This window comes from Homo sapiens, chromosome 11 (assembly GCF_000001405.40).
Source record: "Homo sapiens chromosome 11, GRCh38.p14 Primary Assembly".
Taxonomy (NCBI): Eukaryota; Metazoa; Chordata; class Mammalia; order Primates; family Hominidae; genus Homo; species Homo sapiens.
In genome coordinates this window covers 76,312,760-76,337,227 of record NC_000011.10, presented here as the reverse complement: position 1 = coordinate 76,337,227, position 24,468 = coordinate 76,312,760, and the positions used below count along the sequence as shown (strand labels likewise).

At 50.6% G+C, this 24,468-nt stretch overlaps 1 long non-coding RNA gene across 4 annotated transcripts in view, besides 3 other annotated features; it reads right to left on the bottom strand.

Annotated features, from left to right (window-relative positions):
* Positions 1 to 16,568: 16,568 nt before the first annotated feature.
* The window catches only part of LOC105369395 (uncharacterized), a 36,263-nt gene continuing 28,363 nt past the window's right edge, over positions 16,569 to 24,468 (bottom strand). For all 4 annotated transcript variants that reach the window (XR_950328.3, XR_950329.3, XR_950333.3 and 1 more), the window contains exon 5: positions 16,569 to 16,748. This is a non-coding gene — a long non-coding RNA (uncharacterized LOC105369395). The remainder of the gene's footprint in view (positions 16,749 to 24,468) is intronic.
* Positions 18,100 to 18,159: an enhancer, noted in NCBI's record as "active region_5287". NCBI's record gives its function as "activates an Ori minimal core promoter by ATAC-STARR-seq in GM12878 lymphoblastoid cells {active_cell/tissue: GM12878}" and the evidence as "EXISTENCE:reporter gene assay evidence [ECO:0000049][PMID:35858748]".
* Positions 22,303 to 22,481: a silencer, noted in NCBI's record as "fragment chr11:76025791-76025969 (GRCh37/hg19 assembly coordinates)". NCBI's record gives its function as "represses an EF-1alpha promoter that drives an FKBP-Casp9 reporter gene in an ReSE screen in HepG2 liver carcinoma cells {active_cell/tissue: HepG2}" and the evidence as "EXISTENCE:reporter gene assay evidence [ECO:0000049][PMID:32094911]".
* Positions 22,633 to 23,182: an enhancer, noted in NCBI's record as "H3K4me1 hESC enhancer chr11:76025090-76025639 (GRCh37/hg19 assembly coordinates)". NCBI's record gives its function as "activates a minimal SCP1, AML or CMV promoter by ChIP-STARR-seq in naive H9 embryonic stem cells {active_cell/tissue: H9 hESC(naive)}" and the evidence as "EXISTENCE:reporter gene assay evidence [ECO:0000049][PMID:30033119]".

Genomic DNA, 24,468 nt, shown 5'->3' with positions numbered 1-24,468 from the left:
TATAGGGGTGTCCAGTGAGCTGCAGAATCTGGGTGGGAAGTGAGTACAGCCCAGTTTCCACAGAGCCCTACCAGTTTCTCTGGTCAAACTAATTCAGGTGCCCTCTCCTCTGGAGTGCCCATGGGGATGGTCTAAAGGACAAGAACAGGCAATGCAGCAAGACACTCCTAGATCACTGTCCAGTGGTGGCAGAGACTTGGTGGCAGTGTTCTCATTCTCAGAAAAGAATGAGAGACCAAGGGGAAGGCTGAGGAGAGGGACCTTTCACCTGTTTCTGGGGGCTGCCCAAGAGCCACCAACAGGCTACTGTGGGAACCTCAGTCCAACCTGTAGAGCTCAAGATCCTGCCTAAACCACCCACAATGAGTAGAATTGTGGACAGGAATAGCAAACTACTGCATGCCACCACTCATTAACCCGGTCACAATCACTCCCAATGATCTAATTCTCCACTTCCCCATCCACCTATCACTTCCTCCTCCCTCCTTTCAGTCATTCCCCTATTGCACTCAGTAATTTATTTCTTTCAATGAGTGGGGACACCCGTCAGGCACCTCAAGCACTTTGTTAGGATCCAAGAAGCCTTCATCATGGTGCAAAAAGCATGAGATTCAACCCTTGACAGATGACATAGAACTTTGGCAGAGAGAAACGAGTTAAAACAAAAGCAGTCCCGATGGAAAGAATGGTGGGAGCTAAGGCAGAGAAGTATTAAAGTCTCGGAGAAATGTTGGTGATCATTTGTCATTTACTTTGTCATTTACTTTGACAGAGCAGTGTTTCCCAGGAATGTTTGACCATGGAGAATCTCAGATCAGTGGCCTGAGGAATGCACTTCAGGAAAAGCTGGGAGGTGTGTGTGTGTGTGTGTGTGTGTGTGTGTGTGTGTGTGTACAGGAAGGTGAGGGCATTTGTACTTGCTTCTGGAGGTGGTGATCCCCAACATCTAATACACAGAATACTAGTCCTCAGGGATGCTGTATTAGTCTATTCTTGCATTGCTGTAGAGAACTACCTGAGACTGGGTAATTTATAAAGAAAAGTGGTTTAATCAGCTCATGGTTCCACATGCTGTACAGGAAGCATGGCTGGGAGGCCTTAGGAAACTTACAACCACAGTGGAAGGCAAAGAGGAAGTAGGCACATCTTACATGGCTGTAGCAGGAGGAAGAGAGAGAGGAAAGGGGGAGGTGCTATGCACTTTCAAAAAACCAGATCTCATGACAACTCTGTCACAAGACAGCACTGGAGGATGTGCCTAAATCATTAGAAACCACCCCCATGATTCAGTCAACTCCCACAAGCCTTCCCCTCCAACACTGGATTATAATTCAACCTGAGATCTGGGTGGAGACACAGAGCCAAACTGTATCATTCCACCCCTGGCCCCTCCCAAATCTCATGTCCTCACACTTAAAAACACAATAATTACTTCTCAATAGTTCCCTAAGTTTTAACTCAAAAGTCCACAATCCAAATTCTCATCTGAGACAAGGCAAATCCCTTTCACCTATGAGCCTATAAAATCAGAGGCAAGTTAGTTACTTCTAAGATACAGTGTGGGTATAGGCATTGGGTAAATGCTGCCATTCCAAAAGGGAGAAATTGGCCAAAACAAAGAGGCTACAGGCCCATGCAAGTCCAAAATCCAGCAGGGCAGTCATTAAATCTCAAAGTTCCAAAATAATCTCTTAAGACTCCATATCTCATATTCAGGCCACATTGATGCAAGGGGTGGGCTCCCAAAGTCCTGGGCAGCTCCACCCCTGTGGCTCTGCAGGATATAGACCCCTTGGCTGCTTTCATGGTCTGGTGTTGAGTGCCTGTGGCTTTTCCAGCTACAGGGTGCAAGCTGTTGATGGATCTACCATTCTGCCATCTGGAGGATGGTGGCCGTCTTCCCACAGCTCCACTAGGCAGTGCCCCAGTGGAGACTGTGTGGGGGCTCCAGCCCCACATTTCTCCTCCACAGTGCCCTAGTACAGGTTCTCCATGAGGGCTCCACCCCTGCAGCAGACTTCTGCCTGGACATCCAGGTGTTTTCATATATCCTCTGAAATCTAGGTGGAGGCTCCCAAGCCTCAGCTCTTGCTCTCTGTGCACCCACAGGAAGCTGCCAAGACTTGCTTGCACTTTTTGAACAGTAGCCTGAGATACAGCTTGGCCCCTGTTAGGCATGGCTGGGACGCAGGGAGCAGTGTCCCAAGGTTGCGCAAGACAGCAGGGCCCTGGGCCCAGCCAGTGAAACCATTCTTCCCTCCTAGGCCTCCAGGCCTGTGATGGGAAGGGCTGCCGCAAAGATCTCTGCAATGCTATGGACGCATTTTCCCCATTGCCTTGGCTATTAACATGCTTTAATGTAATTAAGTATTTAATAAGTAAAGCTCCTCTTATGCAAATTTCTGAAGCCAGCTTGAATTCCTTCCCCGAAAATGTGTTTTCCTTTTCTACCACATGGCCAGGCTGCAAATTGTCCACATCTTTGTGCTTTGCTTCCCTTTTAAATATAAGTTCCAATTTCAAGTCATTTCTTTGTTTATGCAGGTGAGTGTAGGCTTTTAGAAGCAGTGAGGCCACATCATGAATGCTTTGCTGCTTAGAAATTTCTTCCACCAGATACCCCAGATCATCTCTCTCAAGTTCAAAGTTCAAGAAATCCCTAGAGCACAGGGGCATAATGCTGCCAGTCTCTTTGCTAAAGCATAGCAAGAGTGACGTTTACACCAGTTCCCAATAAGTTTCTCATCTCCATCTGAGACCTCTTTAGCCTGGACTTCATTGTCCATATCACTATCAGCATTTTGTTCACAACCACCACCCCCGTGATTCAATCACCTCCCACTAGGCCCCTCCTCCAGCACTGGGGATTACAATTCAGCATGAGATTTGGGTGGGGACACAGAGCCAAACCACATCAGATGGACTGGAAAAATGGTCCCAGCAGCAAGCGTAGAGAGCACCAGGCCTCAGATGGGTTCACCAGACCCAGCAGCATGTTAAAGGCCACCCCACCCCAAACCTATGCAGCAAAGACACTTGAACATCACTTAACCCTGCATGTACCAAACTTATTTCACCAAAAATCCTTTTGTGTCATGGAACGTCTTTATTTGAGGGAGTGGGGAATTGACTGGTTGTTTGTTTGAGACAGAGCCTTACCCTGTTGCCTAGGCTGGAGTGCAGTAGCACGATCTCGGCTCACTGCAACCTTTACCTCCCAGGTTCAGCCAATTCCCCTGCCTCAGCCTCCCGAGTAGCGTGCCGCCACACCTGGCTAATTTTTGTATTTTTAGTAGAGACGGGATTTGGCCATGTTGGCCAGGCTGGTCTTGAACTCCTGACCTCAGGTGATCTGCCCGCCTCGGCTTCCCAAAGTGCTGGGATTACAGGTGTGAGCCACCGTGCCCAGCTGATTGACTGTTTTTTGAAAAAGCTACCATGGGCTTATGGTATTAATATATTCCAAACAGTGCACTAGGGTGCACTTTGAAGCGTTTTCCTCCCACCCTTGGCTCCTTCAGTCTCCAGTTTCCTTCTCCAAAGGTGGTCATTTGTCTCCCTTCTGTATCCTCCCAAGTTCCAGGCTACACAAGGATGTATGGGTGTGTTTTCTTTTCAAAATGCAGGTGGAGGCAGCTGATAAACACATCTCTACTGCAGGTATTTTAAGGGCTTAGGTGCAAGGCAGTGTTCAGCAATGGTGTCATGGGGACACCTCCTTTGGCTGGACCTGAGGAATGAGGAGGAACTATCCAGGGGTCCTAAGGATATATCATAGTGCATTTAGCCATTCTTCCAGTGAGGGGCATTGAGATAGTTTCTAGTCTTCTGTTAATCTAAACCAGGGTTGGCAATCTATGGATTCCTGACCAGATCCAGCTCAGCTCTTGTTTTTTATGTACCTTAAGCTATGAATTTTTTATGTTTATAAATGGGTTTTTTTGTTTGTTTGTTTATTTGTTTGAGACAATTTGGCTCTGTTGCCCAGGCTGGAATACGGTGGCACAATCTCAGCTCACTGCAACCTCCACTTCCCAGGTTCAAGTGATTATCATGCCTCAGCCTCCCGAGTAGCTGGGACTACAGGCATGTGCCACCAAACCCAGTTAAGTTTTGTATTTTTGGTATAGACGGGGTTCCACCATGTTGGCCAGGCTGGTCTCAAACTGCTGGCCTCAAGTGATCCTCCTGCCTCAGCATCCCAAAGTGCTGGGATTATAGGCATGAGCCACCACAAGCAGCCTGTAAATGATTTTGAAAAAATAATATTTTGTGACACATGAAAAGTATACAAAATTTAAGTTTCAACATTTGTAAATAAGATTTTATTGGAACACAGGCATACCCATCCGTTTACGTTTGTTTATGACTGCGTTTGAGCTGCAGCAGCATTGTGGATTAGCTACAATGAGACCATATAGTCTGGGTATGGTGGCTCAACGCCTGTAATTCCAGCACTTTGGGAGGCTGAGGCAGGTAGATCACTTGAGCCCAGGAGTTCAAGAGACTGTATAGTCCTCAAGCCTAAAATAGTTACTGTCTATCCTTTACAGAAAAAGGTTGCTGACCTCTGCTTTAAACAATGCTGCAACAAATATCTTTCCCCATTACTGCAAACATGTAAGTAGATCTCTCATAAATAGCCCATTTGGTCTAAGCCAATCTGAGAGACATAGCTCAAAAAGCACATTTCACCGATTTTAGTTAATTTTTCTTTTATTATAAGTGAAGTTAACTAAGCATCTTTTTAAACACATAAAAGTGTTGGGCCATGTGTGGTGGCTCACACTTGTAATCCCAGCAATTTAGGAGGCTGAGACAGGAGGATAATTTGAGCCCAGGAGTTCAAGACCAGCTGGGTAACATGGTGAGACTGCTATCTCTACTAAAACTACTACCCAGGCGGGGTGTGGTGGCTCACGCCTGTAATCCCAGCATTCTGGGAGGCGGAGGCAGGAGGATCACTTGAGGTCAGGAGTTCAAGACCAGCCTGGCCAACATGGCAAAACTCCGTCCCTACTAAAAATACAAAAATTAGCCAGATGTAGTGGCGGGCACCTGTAATCCCAGCAACTCAGGAGGCTGAGGCAGGAGAATCGCTTGAACCCAGGAGGTGGAGGTTTCAGTGAGCCGAGATTGTGTCACTGCACTCTAGCCTGAGTGACAAGAGCGAAACTCCATCTCAAAAATAAAATAAAATAAAATAAAATAACTACCCGGTGTGGTAGCACATGCCTGTAGTCCCAGCTACTAGGGAGGCTGAGGCAGGAGGATTGCTTGAATCTGGAAAGTCAAAGCTTCAATTAGTCATGATTGTTCCACTGCACTCCAGCCTGGGTGACAAAGTGAGACCCTGTCTCAAAAAAAAAATTATATACATATATTTATATGTGTGTGTATATATATATATCATGTGTGTGTTTCCTCTTTTCTGTAAAATGTTTTTTTCAATTTGATAAAGAATATGGGCCAGGTGTGGCGGCTCACGCCTGTAAACCCAGCACTTTGGGAGGCCACGGTGGGTGGATCACTTGAGCCCAGAAGTTCGAGATAAGCCTGGGCAACATAGCGAGATCCTATCTCTACAAAAAGTTTAAAAATTAGCCAGGCATGGCTGGGTGCGGTGGCTCACACCTGTAATCTCAGCACTTTGGGAGGCTGAGGTGGGTGGATCACAAGGCCAGGAGATCGAGACCATCCTGGCTAACACGGTGAAACCCCGTCTCTGCTAAAAATACAAAAAATTAGCGGGGCATGGTGGCGGGAGCCTGTAGTCCCAGCTACTTGGGAGGCTGAGGCAGGAGAATGGTGTGAACCCAGGAGGCGGAGCTTGCAGTGAGCCGAGATCGCAACACTGCACTCCAGCCTGGGCGACAGACTCTGTCTCAAAAAAAAAAAAAAAAAAAAATTAGCCAGGTGTGGTGGTGCGTGCCTGTAGTCCTGGCTACTCAGGAGGCTGAGGTGGGAGGATCACCTGAGCCTGGAAGGTTGAAGCTGCAATGAACTGTGATCATGCCACTGCACTCCAGCCTGAGCAACAGAGTGAGACCCTGTCTCCAAAAAAAACAAAAAATATGAGCAAAAGTATTTTTCTTATTGCTTTACAAAAACAAGGGGGAATTAGCATTTTGTGTCTTGCATCCAAATGTTTTCTCCATTTGTTACTTGACTGACTTTTTTTTTTTTTTTTTTTCATGTAATAATGCTCACCTTGTCAGTGAAGGGAAGGTGGGTCCAGGTGCTGACAGTGAAGGGGATGGGGGACCTTGGCCAGGCAGACAATACTTGTTTCTGGATCCCCTACCTTGTTCCCAGCCCTGTCCCAGGCACTGGGGTCCAGCGGTGAGTGAGGCGGGCGGAGGCTCTGCCATCATGGCAGTGATGGGTAAGCAGGGCAGTACTAAGCGCAGGTGTTACAGGGACACCTCCCCAGCTGGACCTGAAGAATGAAGAGGGACTACCCAGGGGTCCGGGCTGCAGCGGGAGGATTCTGAGCAATAACTCGTACAAGGTTAGATCTTGGAGAGACAGAGGTTTCAGAGTGCAGGTTCTTGGAGCCTAAGCTCTACTGAGTGGTGATGAAGCACCTGGTATGGCCACACATGAAAGGCAAGGACAGGAGTCCCAGGAGTCTCGTCAAGTCTCTGAGGTGCACAGAAAGCTGCCCTGTGAGGGTCTAGAGAGTTTCACCTCTTTGTATGGAGGAGCAAAGTACCTCTCAGGGCTGCAGCTACCCTGCCAACAGACTTAAACTAGGGTCTGAGGGTTTAGAATTGGCCAGGGCGGAGGTGAAGCATTGCTCCGCACCAGGAACAGCAAAGGGCGTGAGGACAAGTCTGGCCTCTCTTGCAACGAAGACCTCTCCCTGCCCTTCCACAGCCCTAGCCTCCACTTCAGTTCTACCTCTCCAGAGTATCAAAGGGAGAGACAACTATGCCTGCAAAGACCAAGCGGCAGCCTGGGAGGGGAGGAGGGGGCTGGAGGGAGATGTGGCTAGAGGGTGAGACCAGCCCCTCAGGCCTTTAACATCAGGCTAAGCCAGCAGCCTACCAGCTGCTCCCCTGCCCAAAGCACCACCCCCAGAGCTCCCTGCAGGCGATGACAAGGATGAAGTGGGGAGGCAGGGGGAGAGTCAAGAGCTCACAAAGGTTCTGCTGTGCTTGACCAGGGCCTCCGCCAGAGCCAGATTGTTTGCTTGCTTGGAGGGAAGGATCTGATTTAAAAAGGTGGTGGCCCTGGGGTTCAGGGCCAGGCCTGCTGGCTGCCATCCTACACAGCAGCCCCACTCCAAACTCTCCATCCTGGGGCCCCCTCATTCCTCTTTACTTTGGTGTTCCCAGTTAGACCCAAGTAGGACTCCACAGCTTTGGGCAGAGGACTTACAAAGCAGCAGGGGCCAGTGCTCACACTTGGGACTCTAGATCACTGGGGGACCTGCAGGACCAGCCTGCTGGGGACTTCATGGAGAAGGAGGTGCGTGGAGGTGGCCCTTCACTGAGCACCTGCTGTATGCTGGGCATTGGGCAGGGCACTTCGTTTATGGGGTTCCCTTTTCATCCTTTAAGCAACAGTAGGTATTATTGTCTCCATTTTACAGACAAGAAAAGAGAGTCCTAGAAAGGCTAAGGGGACTCGCCCAGGTTTACACAGTGAGTCAGTGGTAGGGCTAGAATTCTAACTCAGGTTGGCCCCACCTGTGAATCTAATCTGTGCTTAACCCCTACACTGCTTTGTGCAGGACATAACCCTGTCTTGCACATGTCTGGCACAGAGTGAAGGTCCCATCATGTTGACTTTATCATGCACTTTCTCAGCTGGAGCTGTGGGCCTCACAGCAGCCCTTCGGGGTCAGTAATGCTTCTCTCGCTTTCATGATGTGGAGGCTCAAGCTTGCAGAAGTTGAGCAACTTGCCCAGGGTCACACAGCTAGTCGCAGAGGGTCAGGGAAGTCGGGGAAGTTCAAAGAAATGTGGAGTAGAGTGGGTTTGCCCAAGGAATGACAGGAATGTTCAAGGAACTGAAAGCTGGAAGTGTCTGCGGAAGCTGCAGATCTGCCGGCAAGCAGTGGGGCTGCTTATGGAGTAGTGAGCCCAGGCCCTGGAGCGGGGTCCTGGGGGACTCTCACTCAGCAGAAGAGCAGCCATCAGACACCTGGGCTTGGGACGCCTGCCTGGTCCCTTGTGTTACTTGGAAATGTCAGCAAGAAGGGCCCTTCACCGGGCATGTTTCTCTTCTGTCAGATGAGGGCTGTTAAATGAGGTCTTTGATTTTACTGTTCAGCAGTGGCATCTTTCTTTAAAATAGTCTTGGCCAGGCATGGTGGCTCACACCTGTAATCCCAGCACTTTGGGAGGCTGAGGCAGGTGGATCACCTGAGGTCAGGAGTTCGAGACCAGCCTGGCCAACATGGTGAAACCCCCGTCTCTACCAAAAATACAAAAATTAGCAGGGCATGGTGGCGTGTGCCTATAGTCCCAGCTACTCTGGAGGTTGAGGCAGGAGAATCGCTTAAACCCAGGAGGTGGAGGTTGCAGCGAGCCGAGATCGCGCCACTGCACTCCAGTCTGGGTGACAGAGTGAGACTCTGTCTCAAAAAAAAAAAAAAGTCTTAAGCTGAACTTTATTCATTCGCCCATTCAACAAATATTGAGACTTTCAAGGCACCTGAAACATATGGTTGACCAGACTTCTTCCTGCTTTGAGTGTCTCTGACTTGTGTTACAGAAATTAAGGGTCCCTACCCCTCCACTCAGGGTAGGAATGGGGCCACCTGGGCTGCTATGGGCCCATGCCCTCATTTGGGAGCTCCTTAACCATGGTGCTCCTCTGAAAGGTTCCCTGTCAGAGCTGAGTATATTCATATACTCACAATTGGCCATTTCACAGATTGGGTGGGAAGGCCCAAAGAGTGGGCCAAACCCTGGGTCCCCTGAAGCAGCCTCTTTGTGGCATCATTCATCAAAGAGGCTTTGTGCAATCGGAGGAAACTGGGCGTGTCCATGAGGAGAGAGAAGCAGCGAGGAGGCAAGAGTGAGCAAAGCCCACCAGGCGGGAAAGAGGCCCATTTTGCAGAAGCCAACCCCCTCCCTCCGCCTGGCAGAGCCTTCCTAACAACCTTCCCTCCTCCACCCACACCCGCCAGCCTCTGCCCAGAGCCAGGGTGTCAGCTTGGGTTTGGTGACAGCAGCCCTGAAGGAGGTGTTGGATGGTTGAAGCCCTCCATTGTAGCAGCTCTGGCATCTTCTATGAGCCCAGCCTCGCCAAGTTGTCCTCTTGCCAACTGGAGAGAGGCTGGCTCCTGAGGGATCCTCTCCAACTAGGTAACTCGATTCCCTGCAGCCCAGCACCAGCCCAGCTCTGGCCACCAGAGCCGGAGCTCTGAAGAGTTTACCTCCAACATGGCAGTGAGCAGTTTTCAAGGTCAAGGAGGGTGGCCACCAGGAGCTCCTGAGCCAGGGTGCATGGGGAGAACACAGGGCTGGCAGGCCAGGTTCTAGCTCCAGCTCTTCACTAACTTGCTGTGTGTCTTTGAATGTATCACCTCCTCACTCCGGACCTCAGTTCTCATAAAAGGGAGACTGACAGAAGGTCCCTAAGTGCTTACAGATGGACTGGCCAGGGTCGTCTTGGTCTATAGCATCCCTTTCAAATAAAGATCTGACTATTCTGTGCCTGGTGATCAGGGTGCCCAATGGCTGTGAGTCCCCCTCACCTGGCCTCTGGCCTTTCCAGTGGTAGGGAGAGCAGGGGCTGGCAGCTGCTGTCTTTGTTCTCAGCCTCTCTCAGAAGTCAGAGAACATTAGAAATTCAGTGGAACTACACTGGGTGTGGCTTCCACTTCCCTTAAGATAACCGAGTGAAACTGGATTTTTCTCAACAACTATGATAAAGCTTAAGAACAAGCTAGATATAGGATTCCACTTCACATCTGAATCCCTCAATTGACAAAAACCAATGTGTGAGTGATATTGTGAAATGACACTTTTGGCTTTCTCCCCTAGAATGTTACTATCACACATGTAAAGCATACTATTGTAATTTCACCTACCATTCACTGTTCACTGCCTTTTCATAAGGACAAACTGGACTCTATTGAGATTACGCTTTTCCCATTTTGGGCATCAAAAATTTATTTTAGATGAAGTAGTGGTGCAATAGTACACGACAGTTTTTCTTTTTTTCTTTTTTTAAAATTTTTTGAGATGGAGGATGGAGTCTTGCTCTGTCTCCCAGGCTGGAGTGCAGTGGTGCGATCTCGGCTCACTGCAACTTCTGCCTCCTGGGCTCAAGCAATTCTCTGGCCTCAGCCTCCTGAGTAGCTGGGATTACAGGCACCTACCATCATGCCTGGCTAATTTTTGTAGTTTTAGTAAAGATGGCCAGGCTGGTCTCAAACTCCTGACCTTGAACTTCTGGCTGATCTGCCCACCTTGGCCTCCCAAAGTGCTGGGATTACAGGGGTAAGCCACCACGCCCAGCCTAGTACATGATATTTTTCGAGTAAACTTTTCACAAAGTCTAATATGTATTCAGAATAATCAGACTCCTAAATGTACAGCTTGATGCCTTACCACTAAGTGAACACACCATGGAACCACAGAACATCATGATAGTTCTTTTTCTAATGTTTTTTGTTTGTTTGTTTTGTTTTGTTTGTTTGTTTTGGTTTTTTTAGCAAACTAAAAAAGCTGGTAACTTTACGCTGGTCACCTCCTCTTCATTTAAATTTTACCAGTTGGTAAAATCTAGAATTTGGAGATGTTCTGGGCTAGCCGATCTAATAATGTTCCACGCAGTGCTGCTGGAGCCCTTGGAGCCATTATCTTCTGTGACACACCAACCAGAGGGAAGCAGACGTGGGCCAGGGGCCCACTTCACCCCATCTCAAGAGATAGGAAGAATCCGGCCAAAACATCCCCTCCAGATTCAGCAGAGTTGGCTGCTTGATGCCAGAGCCAAGGGGCAGTGAGGAGGAGTGGCTTTGGATGGGAGATGCTGGAGGATGAATCATTCCTCCCATTCAGGCCTCTCTCGCAGCCTCTTTTCATCAGCCATTACTTTTCCCTTCCACCCACCCACCCCAGGGGCAGGTCTTCCGGACACCTAGGAATCCTCAGGTGCATGTTGTGCATCACCATTGCCATCCCCTCTCCCCCACTCAATTCTCAAGTCACAGCTCTGAGACCCAGGAAGCATCCTCTGACCGTTTTTTTCCCTATTGATAATGGAGAAACCCTGGCACCTTTGTGAAAGGCTATGAAAGTTGTTCAAAATCACACAACAGGCTGGGAATCCAGGAGGCCACATCCGCTCAACCAAGGCAATGCACATTTGTCAAGGACTTGCTTTGTACCCAAACACAGACCAAGGTGATTCTAAGGAAGAAGACCCTTTCTGTTCAGTAAGTCTTAAGTACTATTATGCTCAATAAATATGTGCCTGGCCCTCACTAGGTGTTGACCATTCATGCATTCAGCAAATATTTTATTGAGCAGTCTCTCTGTGTCACTGCTTTTGACTCTAAATTATTTGCTTATACTACTACTTCTTGATTTTTCAGTTTCTTTCTCTTTCTCTCTCTCTTTCCCCTTACTTTCTCCACACTCACATGTACATTTTGTGTCTCCCTACTTCCACCTAGTATCACAAGTTTGATTGGAACAGTATTCATGTTTTCATTATTAGGCTACGTAAATGCTATTGACAACTGGGCCGTGTAGTATTCTATAATTATTTTTCCTTCCCTGCATAACAATTGTGGTTATGCATATCTCCTTTCAATATGTTTAAATGCATTGGCTAGTCTACTGATTTCATCTTCCTGAAGAAGTCCCTCCCAGAGTCTTCCACCATGTCCCATTAGGATGAATTGTCTTCTATTGCACAATAGAATAGAATGGCCTGGGGATTCCTTTGCCCCTATCCTTTGTTACATTTTCTTTTCCTTGGATGCCATGTTTTCCTCTTTCTTGGTTAACTCCCTCACTTCTGTTGAAGCACATCCTCCAGAAGCTTCCTCAGGAAACATGCAAAGATAATTCACATGACTAGAAATGTATTCTCTCTTCACCCTTGATCATCAGTTGGCTGGGTGGAAATATAACTTTCTGGGATGGAAATATAACTTTCTTCAGAATTTTGGAGACATTTCCCCATTTTGCAGCAATATCTTATTTCTTAGGATGTTAATTATAGTTTTAAGTTTTCAGCTTTTTGCAAAGTTGCCAGCTTCTAAGTTCCTTTGTTGTTTCCCCCTATTCTTTTGACTTCTTTTTTAATTAGAGGCTTTTCTCAAATGCTTACTCATCCTTTGCTGTCTGCTCATATTTAAGAATGAGACACTAAAACAGATTTGATACCCTCTGAACATGATTGGGGCTGTGCACATGATTGGGCCATTCCATGTCTTTTATTTTGTGCTAGTCAAAAGAAAAGCTCCTCCAATCTCCTGCCTGAAGCATTCTGTGTATCCTGTCTGGAGTATTAGTATTTTGCCAGGAGAGAGAGTATCTGGAAGTCTGATTGTTTTCCAAGCAATCTTTCTGTTTTTAGCCTCCACCCCGCCCACCTCCGACCCACCCACTTTCCAGAGGTACCTGGTACAACCAACTCCTGAACCATTTGGGGGTTTAACAGTGTAAATTGGGCTGATTTTCAACTTTCTTTATTGCCTTTTAGGATTTAATCAATTACCATTCTTTGTTGGCTGTGTCTGGTTTCCAATATTATGATAAATCCCTTTAGTGTTGTTTTAGTTGGTTTCAGGGAAGACCATAGTGCGAGTTCCGCTTGCTATCTTTATTCTAGTTCAATTTTTAAATGGGCAGTAACAACACATTTCAGAGCAGGAAGTCTCTGTTTAAAGTTATAAACATTAACAGAGACTGTAACCAGAATATGGAAAAGGGCCTAGAGGGGCCCTTCCCCACCAGTTCTTTACCTATTAAGACTCCTGGCTCTAAAAGCCCAGGTCAAAAGCCACTCCTTGCGATGCCTTCCTCAGACTGCCCAGCTTGTATTTGTTTTATTCAAGTTAGGCCAACTGAGTGATAGACATTACAGTACTTTATAGACATTATTCCATTTAAACCTTTACACTCTAAAGTGATAGACTTTTGGAGAGGTGGATGCACTGATCAAGATCCCACAGCCTTCCTGACCACTTCACAGGTGGAAAACTGAGGTGGTCCCATGGCCAGAGCTAAGAAAGGCGGTGCTGATTCCTGGGCCCCCGCTGCTCACGGCGCCCTTTGGCATCACAGTAGGCCAAGGGCAGCTCACTCTTTGGTGGCCCCAAGAATAACGGGGGCAGTTTACTGAGAGATCTCAGTAAACTGACAGTTTACATTTACTGAGATTGTAACAGTCCAAGGGGTTCACCTTGCCCACTGCCTGGACAGAGCCGATTCTTCAAGACAGGGGAATTGCAATAGAGAAAGAGTAATTCATGCAGAGCTGGCTGTGCGGGAGACCAGAGTTTTATTATTACTCAAATCAGTCTCCCCAGGCATTGGGGAGCAGAGTTTTGAAGGATAACTTGGTGGGTGGGGGGAAGACAGTGTGCCAGGAGTGCTGATTGGTCAGAGATGAAATCACAGGGAGTGGAAGCTGTCTTCTTGCGCTGAGTCAGTTCCTGGGTGGGGGCCACAAGATCAGATGAGCCAGTTTATTGATCTGGGTGGTGCCAGCTGATCCATCAAGTGCAGGGCCTGTGAAACATCTCAAGCACTGATCTTAGAGCAGGTTAGAGAGGGTCAGAATCTTGTATCCTCCAGCTGCATATAATTCCTTATCTTGTGGCTAATGTTAGACCTGCCAAAGCAATCTAGTCCCCAGGCAAGAAGGAGGTCTGCTTTGGGAAAGGTCTGTTACCATCTTTGTTTAAACAATAAACTATAAACTAAATTTCTCCCAAAGATAGTTCAATCTATGCTTAGGAATGAACAAGGACAGCTTGGAGGTTAGAAGCAAAATGGAGTCAGTTAAGTTAGATCTCTTTCACTGTCTCAGTCATAATTTTACAAAGGCGGTTTCAAGATCTCTCAGTAAATGACAGACCTGAGACTTAAACTCAGGTCTCTACCATGCAGCCCTTCTGACATAATTGCTGACTTTGAGGAGCCCCAAAGGTAGAGCTCATATTTTGGTGAAAAAATGGCACATGGTACTGCAGTCAGCCCTGGGCACGTACAAGGAGCACCAAATGGGGGTGAAGGAGTGGTGTTCAGTTCAGAGGAAAGAGGGCTTCCTCCCAAATGACCAGGGCTGCCTTTGCAGAGGTGGTAGCATCTGAGCTCATCACCCCACAGGTTCAGGATGGCTTCTTTCCTTGCCTAGGGGATGGGCGGTGACAGTGAATAATAATGATGGTGGTGGTGAAGTTAGTAAAGCACTTTTACTCACATCTCTTTGATTTTACAGAACCTTGTGGGCTGAATGTTATCTCCACTTTAGGCAAGATAAAATCAAGACACAGAGAAGTTAGTCACCCAGCAGGAAAGCCTGGGCTTCAGGGTCCAAGTCCCTCCCTTCCGAGTCCTCGCTCTCTGCTCTCTGCTGTAACTAGGCCGAGGGGGAAGCTTCCTATTCCAAAGCATCTCTTCACCAGTGCTTCACAACATGTGGACTATTTCCTTGTTTTAAAGAGCTGATTTCTGGGTCCCATCTCAGACCTACTGCGTCTCTGGGAGATGGGGCCTTGAAATCTGCATTTTAACAACTGTCCCCGTGATTCTTGTGGTCACCTAAGAGTGAGATGCCCTCGGCCTACTGGGATGCTGAAGGACGCTGTGAGCAGCGGGGGCCCAGGAATCAGCACTGCCTTTCTTAGCTCTGGCCATGGGACCACCTCAGTTTTCTGCCTGAGAAGTGGGCAGAGTCGAGACTCCGAGGGTGCCACGCCCCGGCTGCCACCCCGCCAGCACAGGCGAGCGCCACACCTGCGTCTCTCCCAGGCTCCCTCCCTTCTCCGTCCCGCCCGCCCGGGTGGAAGGAAACAGCTGGGGGCTCTTCTTTTCCAGGCTGCGGTCGCCTCCTCTTCGGTTGCGGACGGGCCGAGGTTGGGGGCTCGGGCCGCTTTCCGCACGCGCCGACCCCCGCCGGGGACCGCAGGGGACCCGAGTGCGCGGGGCTTCCCGCCCGCCGGGCAGCCTCCCCCACCCCGCCTGCCCCGCCGGCAGCCCACAAATATTCCCGAGGCCCGGAGGGGGCAGAAAACGCCTTTCCAGCGCGTCTTCTGGCCCCGGCCCACCTTTCTGCGCGCGGAACCCTTCGAGGAGAGGCCTGGACACCCGTCAGTACCGCGCCCCCAAACCCTCGCCCTGCGCAGCCCGAGGGCGCAAGCGTGGGCCTTGTGGGGCGGGCATGGGCAGGGCAGGCAGACACAGACCCAGGGTGGGAGCTGGGGGAGGGCACCCCACTCAATCCGGGGCTCAGGGAAGGCGTCCTGGAGGGATTTCAGCTAAGCTCTGAAAGATGAACGGATATGATGGACAGAGGGAACAGAATATGCAAAGACCAACAGGGGGGCAGTTGGAGAAATTCCAAATACTGTGTGTTGTTGAAACGCTGAATTCAAGGTGTAGTGGCTCAAGATGGGGCTGGAGAGAGTGGGGAGAGCCAGTCCCGAGCAGGTCCTTGGCAAACCATGCTGGAGGATGGGCGACTCTGAGGGATTGTAAGCAGGACCCTGACTGGCCAGTCATTTGCTTTCCGGGAAGGCCACTCTGGCTGGTGTCGGGGGGGGGCGGGGGGGGACTGGGGGAGTGGCAGGGGATGGGTGAGGAGGCTGTAGGCAGAAGTCACAGTGCCTGCACCCAGGTGACGGGAGTGGGAATGTCTCCCTCCTGCCAACCCTCCTCCTTCCTCGTTAGTCCAGCTTGGACCCTCTTCCAAGGCCTCTCTCAGTGCCCCACTCACCACCTCCAGGAAGTCTTCCCTGCTCCCTCAGGGTCTCAGAACGCCAAAGCCTGTATCTGGTTATTTGCTGCCTTGTCTTTGGAATTAATTTGTGTGCGTCAGCCTTCAAGGGAGCCGAGCATGGTGATCAAGGCCACCCGAGAACCCCAGTTCTACTGCAGACATGTGACCTGGGAAAGTCTTTCATTCACTCTGAGCCTCACTTTATTCCTCTGTAAAATGGGGAGAATGATCCCTCCACTGAAGGATTCTATACGCCTGGCATTTGATGTATGCTTAGTGAGTGAGCTTTTTCTCCATTAGAGTTGGTCAGCCTGGAAACCAGACAAGGGCCCTTTGAGTGTCTCCCGAAACTTCTCTAGGGCTTTTAGATAGAAGTAACCGGATAGCAGCGATCTTAAGGCCGAGGATTGGAATACCGGAGTCCCTGTGTGACTTCAGGCAAGTCAGGGCCCCACTCTGGATAACAAAGGGGCAGGCAGGAGGACCCCTACAGTCCCCACTGCTGCTCTTTTAGGCATTCCCTTTCTGGCGGAGTTCCTTGGGTTTCCTTGGGAGGCAGAGGCACCTGGAAGACCAACCCAGAGCTGAAGATCTAAAATGACAGATTGGCAGGGTCCTGGCTTGGAGCAGCTGCAGCAGGTATCCAGGCATGGGAGCAGGCATCTTGGGCACAACAGGATCAGATGATTGTGAGCAAAGCCACGGGATTTGGGTAGGTCCCAGATGAAGGAGCCATGAGTAGTGTCAGCACACCCTTCTCTTTGCCCAGATGAAAGTCCAGTGAGCCACCCATGGTTATGTGGCAAGCTCATGGGAAGGCATTTTGGCTGACAGGAAGAGCAGGAACAAAGTGGTCAAGACTCCCATGTTCAACACAGGTGACTTAAGTCTATAATGAGGTAAAGCACGGGAAAACATCTAGTCTAATGGCACATAGTAGATGCTTAATAAATGCAAATGTATTGAACACCAGACCTTATGCTGAGAAGCAATGGGTCACACACAGTCTCTTCCCTTGAGCTCAGAGCCTGGGGAGGGCAAGAGATGGGTACAGAAACATTCCTGGCCTATGCAGGGATAAAGGACAGCACAGGAACTATGGGGACCCAGAGGAAGATGGGATTGAACTTTTATCGAGAGCAGGCTGTGTGCCCAGTAGTGAACTTGGGGAGAAAGGTATATTGAGGAAGGCAACTCATGGAGGAGGTGACTTTGCACTGGCACTTTTTGTTTTGTTTGAGATGGAGTCTTGCTCTGTTGCCCAGGGTGGAGTGCAGTGGCACCATATCGGCTCACTGCAATCTCCACCTCCCAGTTTACGCAATTCTTTTGCTCAACCTCAGAGCAGCTGGGACTACAGGCATGTGCCACCACCCCTGGCTAATTTTTGTTGTTTTAGTAGAGACAGGGTTTCACCATGTTGACCAGGCTGGTCTCGAACTCCTGGCCTCAAGTGATCCACCCTCCTCGGCCTCCCAAAGTGCTGGAATTACAGGTGTGAGCCACCACGCCTGGCCTGCACTGGTTTTTAAGCCAAGAAGGCAGAGAAAGTTATTTCAAGCAGAGGCAAGAATATATATCGGGGGCCAGGCGCAGTGGCTCACGCCTGTTACCCCAGCACTTTGGGAGGCCGAGGTGGGTGGATCACGAGGTTAGGAGTTCGAGACCAGCCTGACCAACATGGTGAAACCTCGTCTCTACTAAAAATACAAAAATTAGCTGGGCGTGGTGAGGTGTGCCCGTAATCCCAGCTACTCGGGAGGCTGAGGCAGGAGAATTGCTTGAACCTGGGAGGTGGAGGTTGCAGTGAGCTGAGATCACATCATTGCACTCCAGCCTGGGCGACAGAGCAAGACTCTGTTTCAACACAAAAAAAAAGAATATATATTGGTCGGTGCAAAAGTAATTGTGGTTTTTGCTGTTGACTAAAGGCAAAAATTGCAATTTTGCACCAACCTAATACAAAGCCACAAGACTGGGGAAAGTATGGAACGTTTAAGGAGCTGGTGAGTATTTTGCTGTATAGGAAATGGGGCATCAGAGGTCAGCAGAGGCCCGGATGGGAAGAGCCTTGAATGCCAACTAAGGAGCAAGCATGGACTCCAAGGGCAGTGAGGAACCATGAAAGGTTTCTGAGCAAGAGAATGATGTGGTCAGAATCCATTACAGAAGGAAGCATCTTGCATTCATCGAGCCATCTGGAGAGACCTGGGGGTGGCGGGGAGGGAACTGGGCCAGTGGGCCCAGGTAGGAACTCTTAGCTGTGCTTCAGTCCACTGGGATTTATTTAGGTCAGAGCCGGGCTCCTGGGACTGGTGGCCTCTTCCCACATGGACAGTAGGTGGCGCTGCAGCTCTGTGTATGCAGCCTCCAGGGCGCTGCTACCTGCCCTCACCTAAGTGGGTCAGACCCCTTGTCCCACTTGGCCCTGGGGCTTGGGCCCCATCTCCAGGGATGAGGCTTGGAGGGGTAGGGTGGGGATGGGCTTTGCTCCTCCTCCTCCAGAAGCAGGGAAGGCCACTTGCTTTACAGAGCCACAGGATGTGTGAGTAGAGAGGGCCTCCAGGGATTTTCTGGCCCATGTCCTATTTCACATGTAGGTAAACTGAGGCCCCCAAGGGGGAGGGGCTTGCCTGAGTCACTGAATGGGTTAGTAGCTCAGGGGTGGTTCCAGTGCCTGATGTGGGAGTTCATCCCATCCCTTCCCTCTCCTAAATCCCTCCCGTTTGCCTCCTCTTGCCCTCCCCATTGCCCCCTCTCCTCTCGGTTCCCACCATCTACCTGGCCTGGACCACTGTCCCAGCCTCCTCACAGATGGCTGTGTTGTCTCTTCCATGCCTGCCCATACCTTTCCCCACCCCATCCATCCCCCACCCAGCCCAGGGATTTTCCCTCACACACAGATCCAGCGATCACCACCCCCACTCCGTTAAACCCTTCCCTGCCCCCCATCATCCCTAAATGCTGCTTAGCAGATGCAGATCTGCTCTGGGCTCCCAGGCCCCTGCTCACCCTGGCCGTCATGACTTATCCATGCCGATCCTAATGTCGCACTCTTTCTCACCTTCCATGACTCAGTGGGGTCCTCCAAGGTATGGGGGCTTAGGTGCCCCTTCTGGGCTGCCACAGCTGTGACCACACTGTGTGACTGAGGGTCCCTGCACCCATCTTCTCTGCTGAATCACCCAGAGCGCCTTCAGGGTGGGGACTCTGGCACCTGATTCACATTGCTCCCCGTGGCACGGGGCTTGGCCCCCATGGGAGCTTTGTGCTGTCCTTTTGGATGAATGACTGAATGACAGGTGCACTCTGAGAGCATCCTTACCAGATCACGGTACACCGCAATGGGCCAGGCACCGTGCTGGTACTTCCATGCACAGCCTCGAAATCCTAACAACAGCTTGGTGGGGTCACACTGGAATTACTAACTCTGTTTTGCAGAAGAGAGTGAAGCACAGAGAGGAGAGGTGACTTGCCTAAAGTCACACAGCAAGAGAGTGATAGAAACCAGGCTCATCAGGCTGCCTGGCATAGCAAGGCCACAGGCAGCTAAAGGGATGGGCTCAGCATGGTGAGACTGCTCCCAGGAGCTACAGGGCAGCAGCGGCCAAATCTCCCAGGGTCTGAGCAAAGCTAATGTGGAGCTATCAGGAGGCCACTCAGGTGCCTGCGCCCTCAAGAAGTCAGGTTCCCTCCCTGTTTTAGAGCATGGGAAGTCTCCAGTTGTTCCAAGTCAGGCAGGGACCTGGGCAGACTTGAGTACCAGAAGCACTTCTGTGGCTGCTGTGAGGTAGAGACCAGCAGCTGGAGGCCAGCCAAGAGGCCGACCCAGTGATCCAGGGAGAGGCAAGGCCCAGTGGGGCAAGCAGCACATGGTCTGGGATCAGGCCCGGCCAAAATGTTAATACCAAGGCCTTTCAAGGGGCCCTGTGGTCAGTAGGCTGGGTGCCTGGAAGCAAGAAGTAAGCAGTGATGGGCTGCCCATGAAGATAGGTGGGCAGAATGTGGTAACGAGCTGGGTGCAGTGGCTCATGCCTGTAATCCCAGCACTTTGGGAGGCTGAGGTGGGCGGATCGCTTAAGCCCAGGAGTTGGAGACCAGCCTGGCCAACATGGCAAAACCCCATCTCTACTAAAAATGCAAAATTTACCTGGGAGCAGTGGCATGCACCTGTAGTCCCAGCTACTGAGGTGGGAGGATTGCTTGAGCCTGGCGGGTCGAGGCTGCAGTGAGCCAAGATTGCACCACTACACTCCACCTTGGGTGACAGAGTAACTCTGCCTCAGAAAAAAACAAAACAAAACAAAAAACCATGGTAACAAACTGCAAATATTTGTTGCAGAAAAACCCAGGAGCATGGAAGGGCAAACGCAGAGGCCAGCAGAGTGGACTCAGGATTCTAGGTCACTGTACCAATGATGGGAGTGTCCTCAACTTGCTGCATGACCTTGATCTTATCCCTGTTCCTCTCTAGGCATCAATAAGGGAAATTTTAGCCTGAAGTCCCCCAAGGGGCCTCTGTATTTGGGTGCCCAGTTTTGATGCTACATAGAAGTCAAAGGTAGAAGGGCCCTTGGTGTCTCAGGCTCAGAAAGGGTTGGGCCTGCCCACATCCCACAACGAACACAGGCCCAGAACCAAGAACTCCTGAAAAGTCTGACTTGGTTACGGCACAAAGCACACTCCCTCCTGTTCTTCCAAGGCAAGTGTTCAGATCCTTTAGGGAGCCCTTTGGTGGTCATTTGGTGCAGCCTCTTTGGCTGGGCAGCTGCAGCTTCTTCTTCTTTTTTTTTTTTTTTTGAAACAGAGTCTCGCTCTGTCGCCCAGACTGGAGTGCAGTGGTGCGATCTCGGCTCACTGCAATCTCCGCCTCCCAGGTTCAAGCAGTTCTCCGCCTCAGCCTCCCAAGCAACTGTGATTACAGGCACCTGCCACCACGCCTGGCTAATTTTTGTATTTTTAGTAGAGATGGGGTTTCGCCATGTTGGCCAGGCTGGTCTTCAACTCCTAACCTCGTGATCCACCCGCCTCAGCCTCCCAAAGTGCTGGGATTACAGGCTTGAGCCACTGCGCCTGGCCCATCTTTTTTTTCTTTTGAGACAGAGTCTTGCTCTATCACCAGACTGGAGTGCAGTGGCGCTATCTTGGCTCACTGCAACTTTTGCCTCCTGGGTTCAAGTGATTCTCCTGCCTCAGCCTTCTGGGTGGCTGGGATTACAGGCACCCACCATCATACTCAACTAATTTTTGTATTTTTAGTAGAGACTGGGTTTCACCACGTTCACCAGGCTGGTCTTAAACTCCTGACCTCAAGTGATCCACCCGCCTCGGCCTCCCAAAGTGCTGGGATTATAGGCGTGAGCCACCATGCCCAGCCTGCAGCTTCATCTTTATTCCCAGGAGGGAGCACTCAGGTTGCCTTCCGGGTGAGCATGCTAAAGAACTTCCTTTAGTCTACCCTGTGGCCTAGCTGCAGCCATCCTTCTTGGGGGTGTGTTTGGGGCAGGACAGTGTGGGGAGTTGCTGGAGAGTGTCTGCTTGGTGGTGATGCCCAGTGCAATCTGATGCCCACCTTCCTATTACCACCCCTGCCAGCATCACACCACTTGGTGAGGTCAGCCTCTTGCTGGGAGGCTACCTCTTACGGGTCCCTTGGGGTTGTGGTCGGGGCTTCTCCTTGACTCAGCCAAGGGGTCCAGCCACTTCTGGAGGGTAAACCTTTCCCCTGGGTCTTCAGTCTCAGGGCAGGGTGACTCTTCCAAGCACCACCCAGTTCTGAACAGCAGGGCCTCTGGCACTGGTCCTTAGCTGTGGGCTTCAGTGAGAGTCCCTGCTGGTTTCCTGGTGGGAAAAGTCAGATTGGCCCCTGGGATGGTACCGCCAACTCACGCCAGGGAACACGAAGGGTAAAGCATCATCCCAGCTTGAGTGGGGAAGTCAGGCAAGTATTAGCATGCCCCAGAGCCTCTCCTGCTGCCTCTGGTCCTGCCTCATCCCTGAAACTCCCACTCCCTGCCCAGGGAGGTGTGGGGAGGGTGCTGCTCATGAGAGGAGATACACTTTTACTGAGCCCCTGCGTGGTGTAAAGCCCTCCTCCACCAGAGTCCTCATAGCCGCTCCGTGAGGTGTTACCATCCCCATCAACCAGCTGAGATCCTGAATTGCCAAGCCACTAAAAGTGGAATCAGCACTTGAATGTCTTTCAGAATCCAGTTTCTCACCTTTTCCTAAGCTGTCCTTATTCATGCATAGGGAAGCAATATTCATTCATTTTTTTTTTTCTTAAAGTGACTCTAACTGGTAAGAATAACTAACACATAGTAGTGACTCAGTCAATACTTGTTGTGAGCAAATGAACTAGTTCTTAGGACTGGGAGCTGCTGAGATGACCTGCCCTTCTTGGCATTCAGCACTGGCCCTGTTGGAAACCACACTGTGTGGAGAGAGCTGCTGATGTGAGGGGAGGCTCCGCTCGGGTACCTGTGGGCAGAGCATGCTTGTTCCCACCACCTTTGAGATGTAGGCGAAGCAAATCTGAGAAGCGGGAAGACAACTGGGGATTAGGGTGGGGCCTGAATTAGTTAGCGGAGGGTGTCCCCTCTGCGAGTTCCTGTCATCTCTCTGTACTCCCTGCCCTGCTGGGATGTAGCCCTGGAGCCCCTCTTCTCCTACGACTCAGCCTCCTTCAGGAAGCTTCCTTGCACTGGAGCCTGGATTGGGCCCTGCTCTGGGCTCCCCAGCCCTTGTGAATTGTTGTGACACAAGTTCCATGTTGTCATCAACTAGTTATGTGGTTGTTCCCCCACCAGACCAGGAGTTCCTGAAGGCAGGGGGTTGTTTGATTCCTCTCCGAGTCTGCAGCTCCCATGACAGGGCCAGAAGGAAAGGTTGTTGAATGAATGAATGAATGAATGAATGAATGAATGAATAAATAAAACAAGCAGTGCAAATATCCCTAGCCTGCAAGCCTTGGGCTTCAGTTCTGCCACCAGCTGGCAAAGCCCCATTCCACTCTGGTTTCACATGCCCGGTCTGTGCTCTGTGGCCATGGGACCCTTCAGCTGCCCCTGAGAAACAGGTAACGAGGGAGGGGCTAAGCGCCACTGGCAGATGCTCAGCTTGAAGCTGCCTCCCTGTGCTTGTCCCCTCAGCCTGAGCCCCGCCTACCGAGGGTGGAGGAAGGGCCCGTCAAATTGCATTCCCTTCACACTGCGTCCGTCGCATTGCCTCATCTCAGAAACGCTCCATCTTAGCTCTCATCTCTCTGCCCCAAGCAAGCTAGCTTGGCCAGCAGACCTGCTGACATCAGCCAGGACTTGCTGGGGGCCAGAGTTGGGGGCCGAGCCCTGCAATCCACCCACAGGATCAAAAAGCCTCTACAATGCTCTGCAGGTTTCCAAGCCTGTGCCACACCCAGCCCAGCCACCCCACACCCCAGAGGGCTGGACTCCCCATCATTACTCTGTTACTGAGGAAAGTGAGACCCATGGAGGGAGGGGCTGGAACAGCCCCGAGTGCCCAGTGACTGGTGCCCCAGCTGGGAATCTGGACTCAAGTCTTAAACTCCAAACTGGTTTATTTTAATCCCTAGTGCTATCTCGAGGTATGAATTTGGGCAAGTGGGTGATTTCCTCTGGGCCTCAGTTTCTTTATCTGTTTCAGGGGGATAGCTGTTGCCTGGTACTCCTGAAGGTGCCTGGAGAGGTGGAGGTGCTGCTGGGCACTATGGAAAAGGCACCAGCTGGGAGCCGGGCCCTGGCTCCGCTTCTCTCTGGCCTCAGCTCTCTGTCTGTAGAGTGAGGGGCCTGGCTGTCCCTTGTTCCTCCCCACTTCCTCTTCACTCTTGCTCCATCACCCTCACAGTGAAAGTGGTAGCAAGAGGAGCATTCTGTGCACTGGTTATTTTTCAGGCCTGGGTTGCGCTGTGGGCATCAAGAGAGGGCCCAGTCTCTACCCTTAGGGAACCCATGGATGTACAGGGGAGGACACATCTATTTGTTAGTTCATCCATCCACCATCAGTCATCTATCCATCCATCCGTCTATCCATCCCCACATCCCTCCAACCCCCCATCCATCCCCCCATTCTTCCATCCATCCCCCACCATCCATTCATTCGTCCATCCACACACCTATCCAGCCAGCAAACATTTACCCAGCATGGTCTCTGTCCCAGGCCTAGGCTATGTGGGACTGCTGAGCAGACTCCCACGGGGTCCTCCCTTCAAAGACTCACAATCCACCTCCAAGCTGCCCTCACATCTCAGTCCTCAACCTGGGCACTTCTTCCCAGGTCCAGACCTTATATCTCACAGACGCCCTGACTTTGCCCTTTGGGTGTCCCATAGGTTTCTCCAACTAGAACACTTGATCTGTCCCCCACCCTACCCGCTACTTGCTTCTCTCTCAGGTTTCCCCAGGTCAGTAAATGACCCCATGATCCATCCAGGGCTTAAAATCTACACATCTTCCTAGATTCCTCTCTCCTCTCACTCACCCTTGACACCCAAACAAGCAAGCAGTAAAAATCTGAGGATACTGCCTCCAA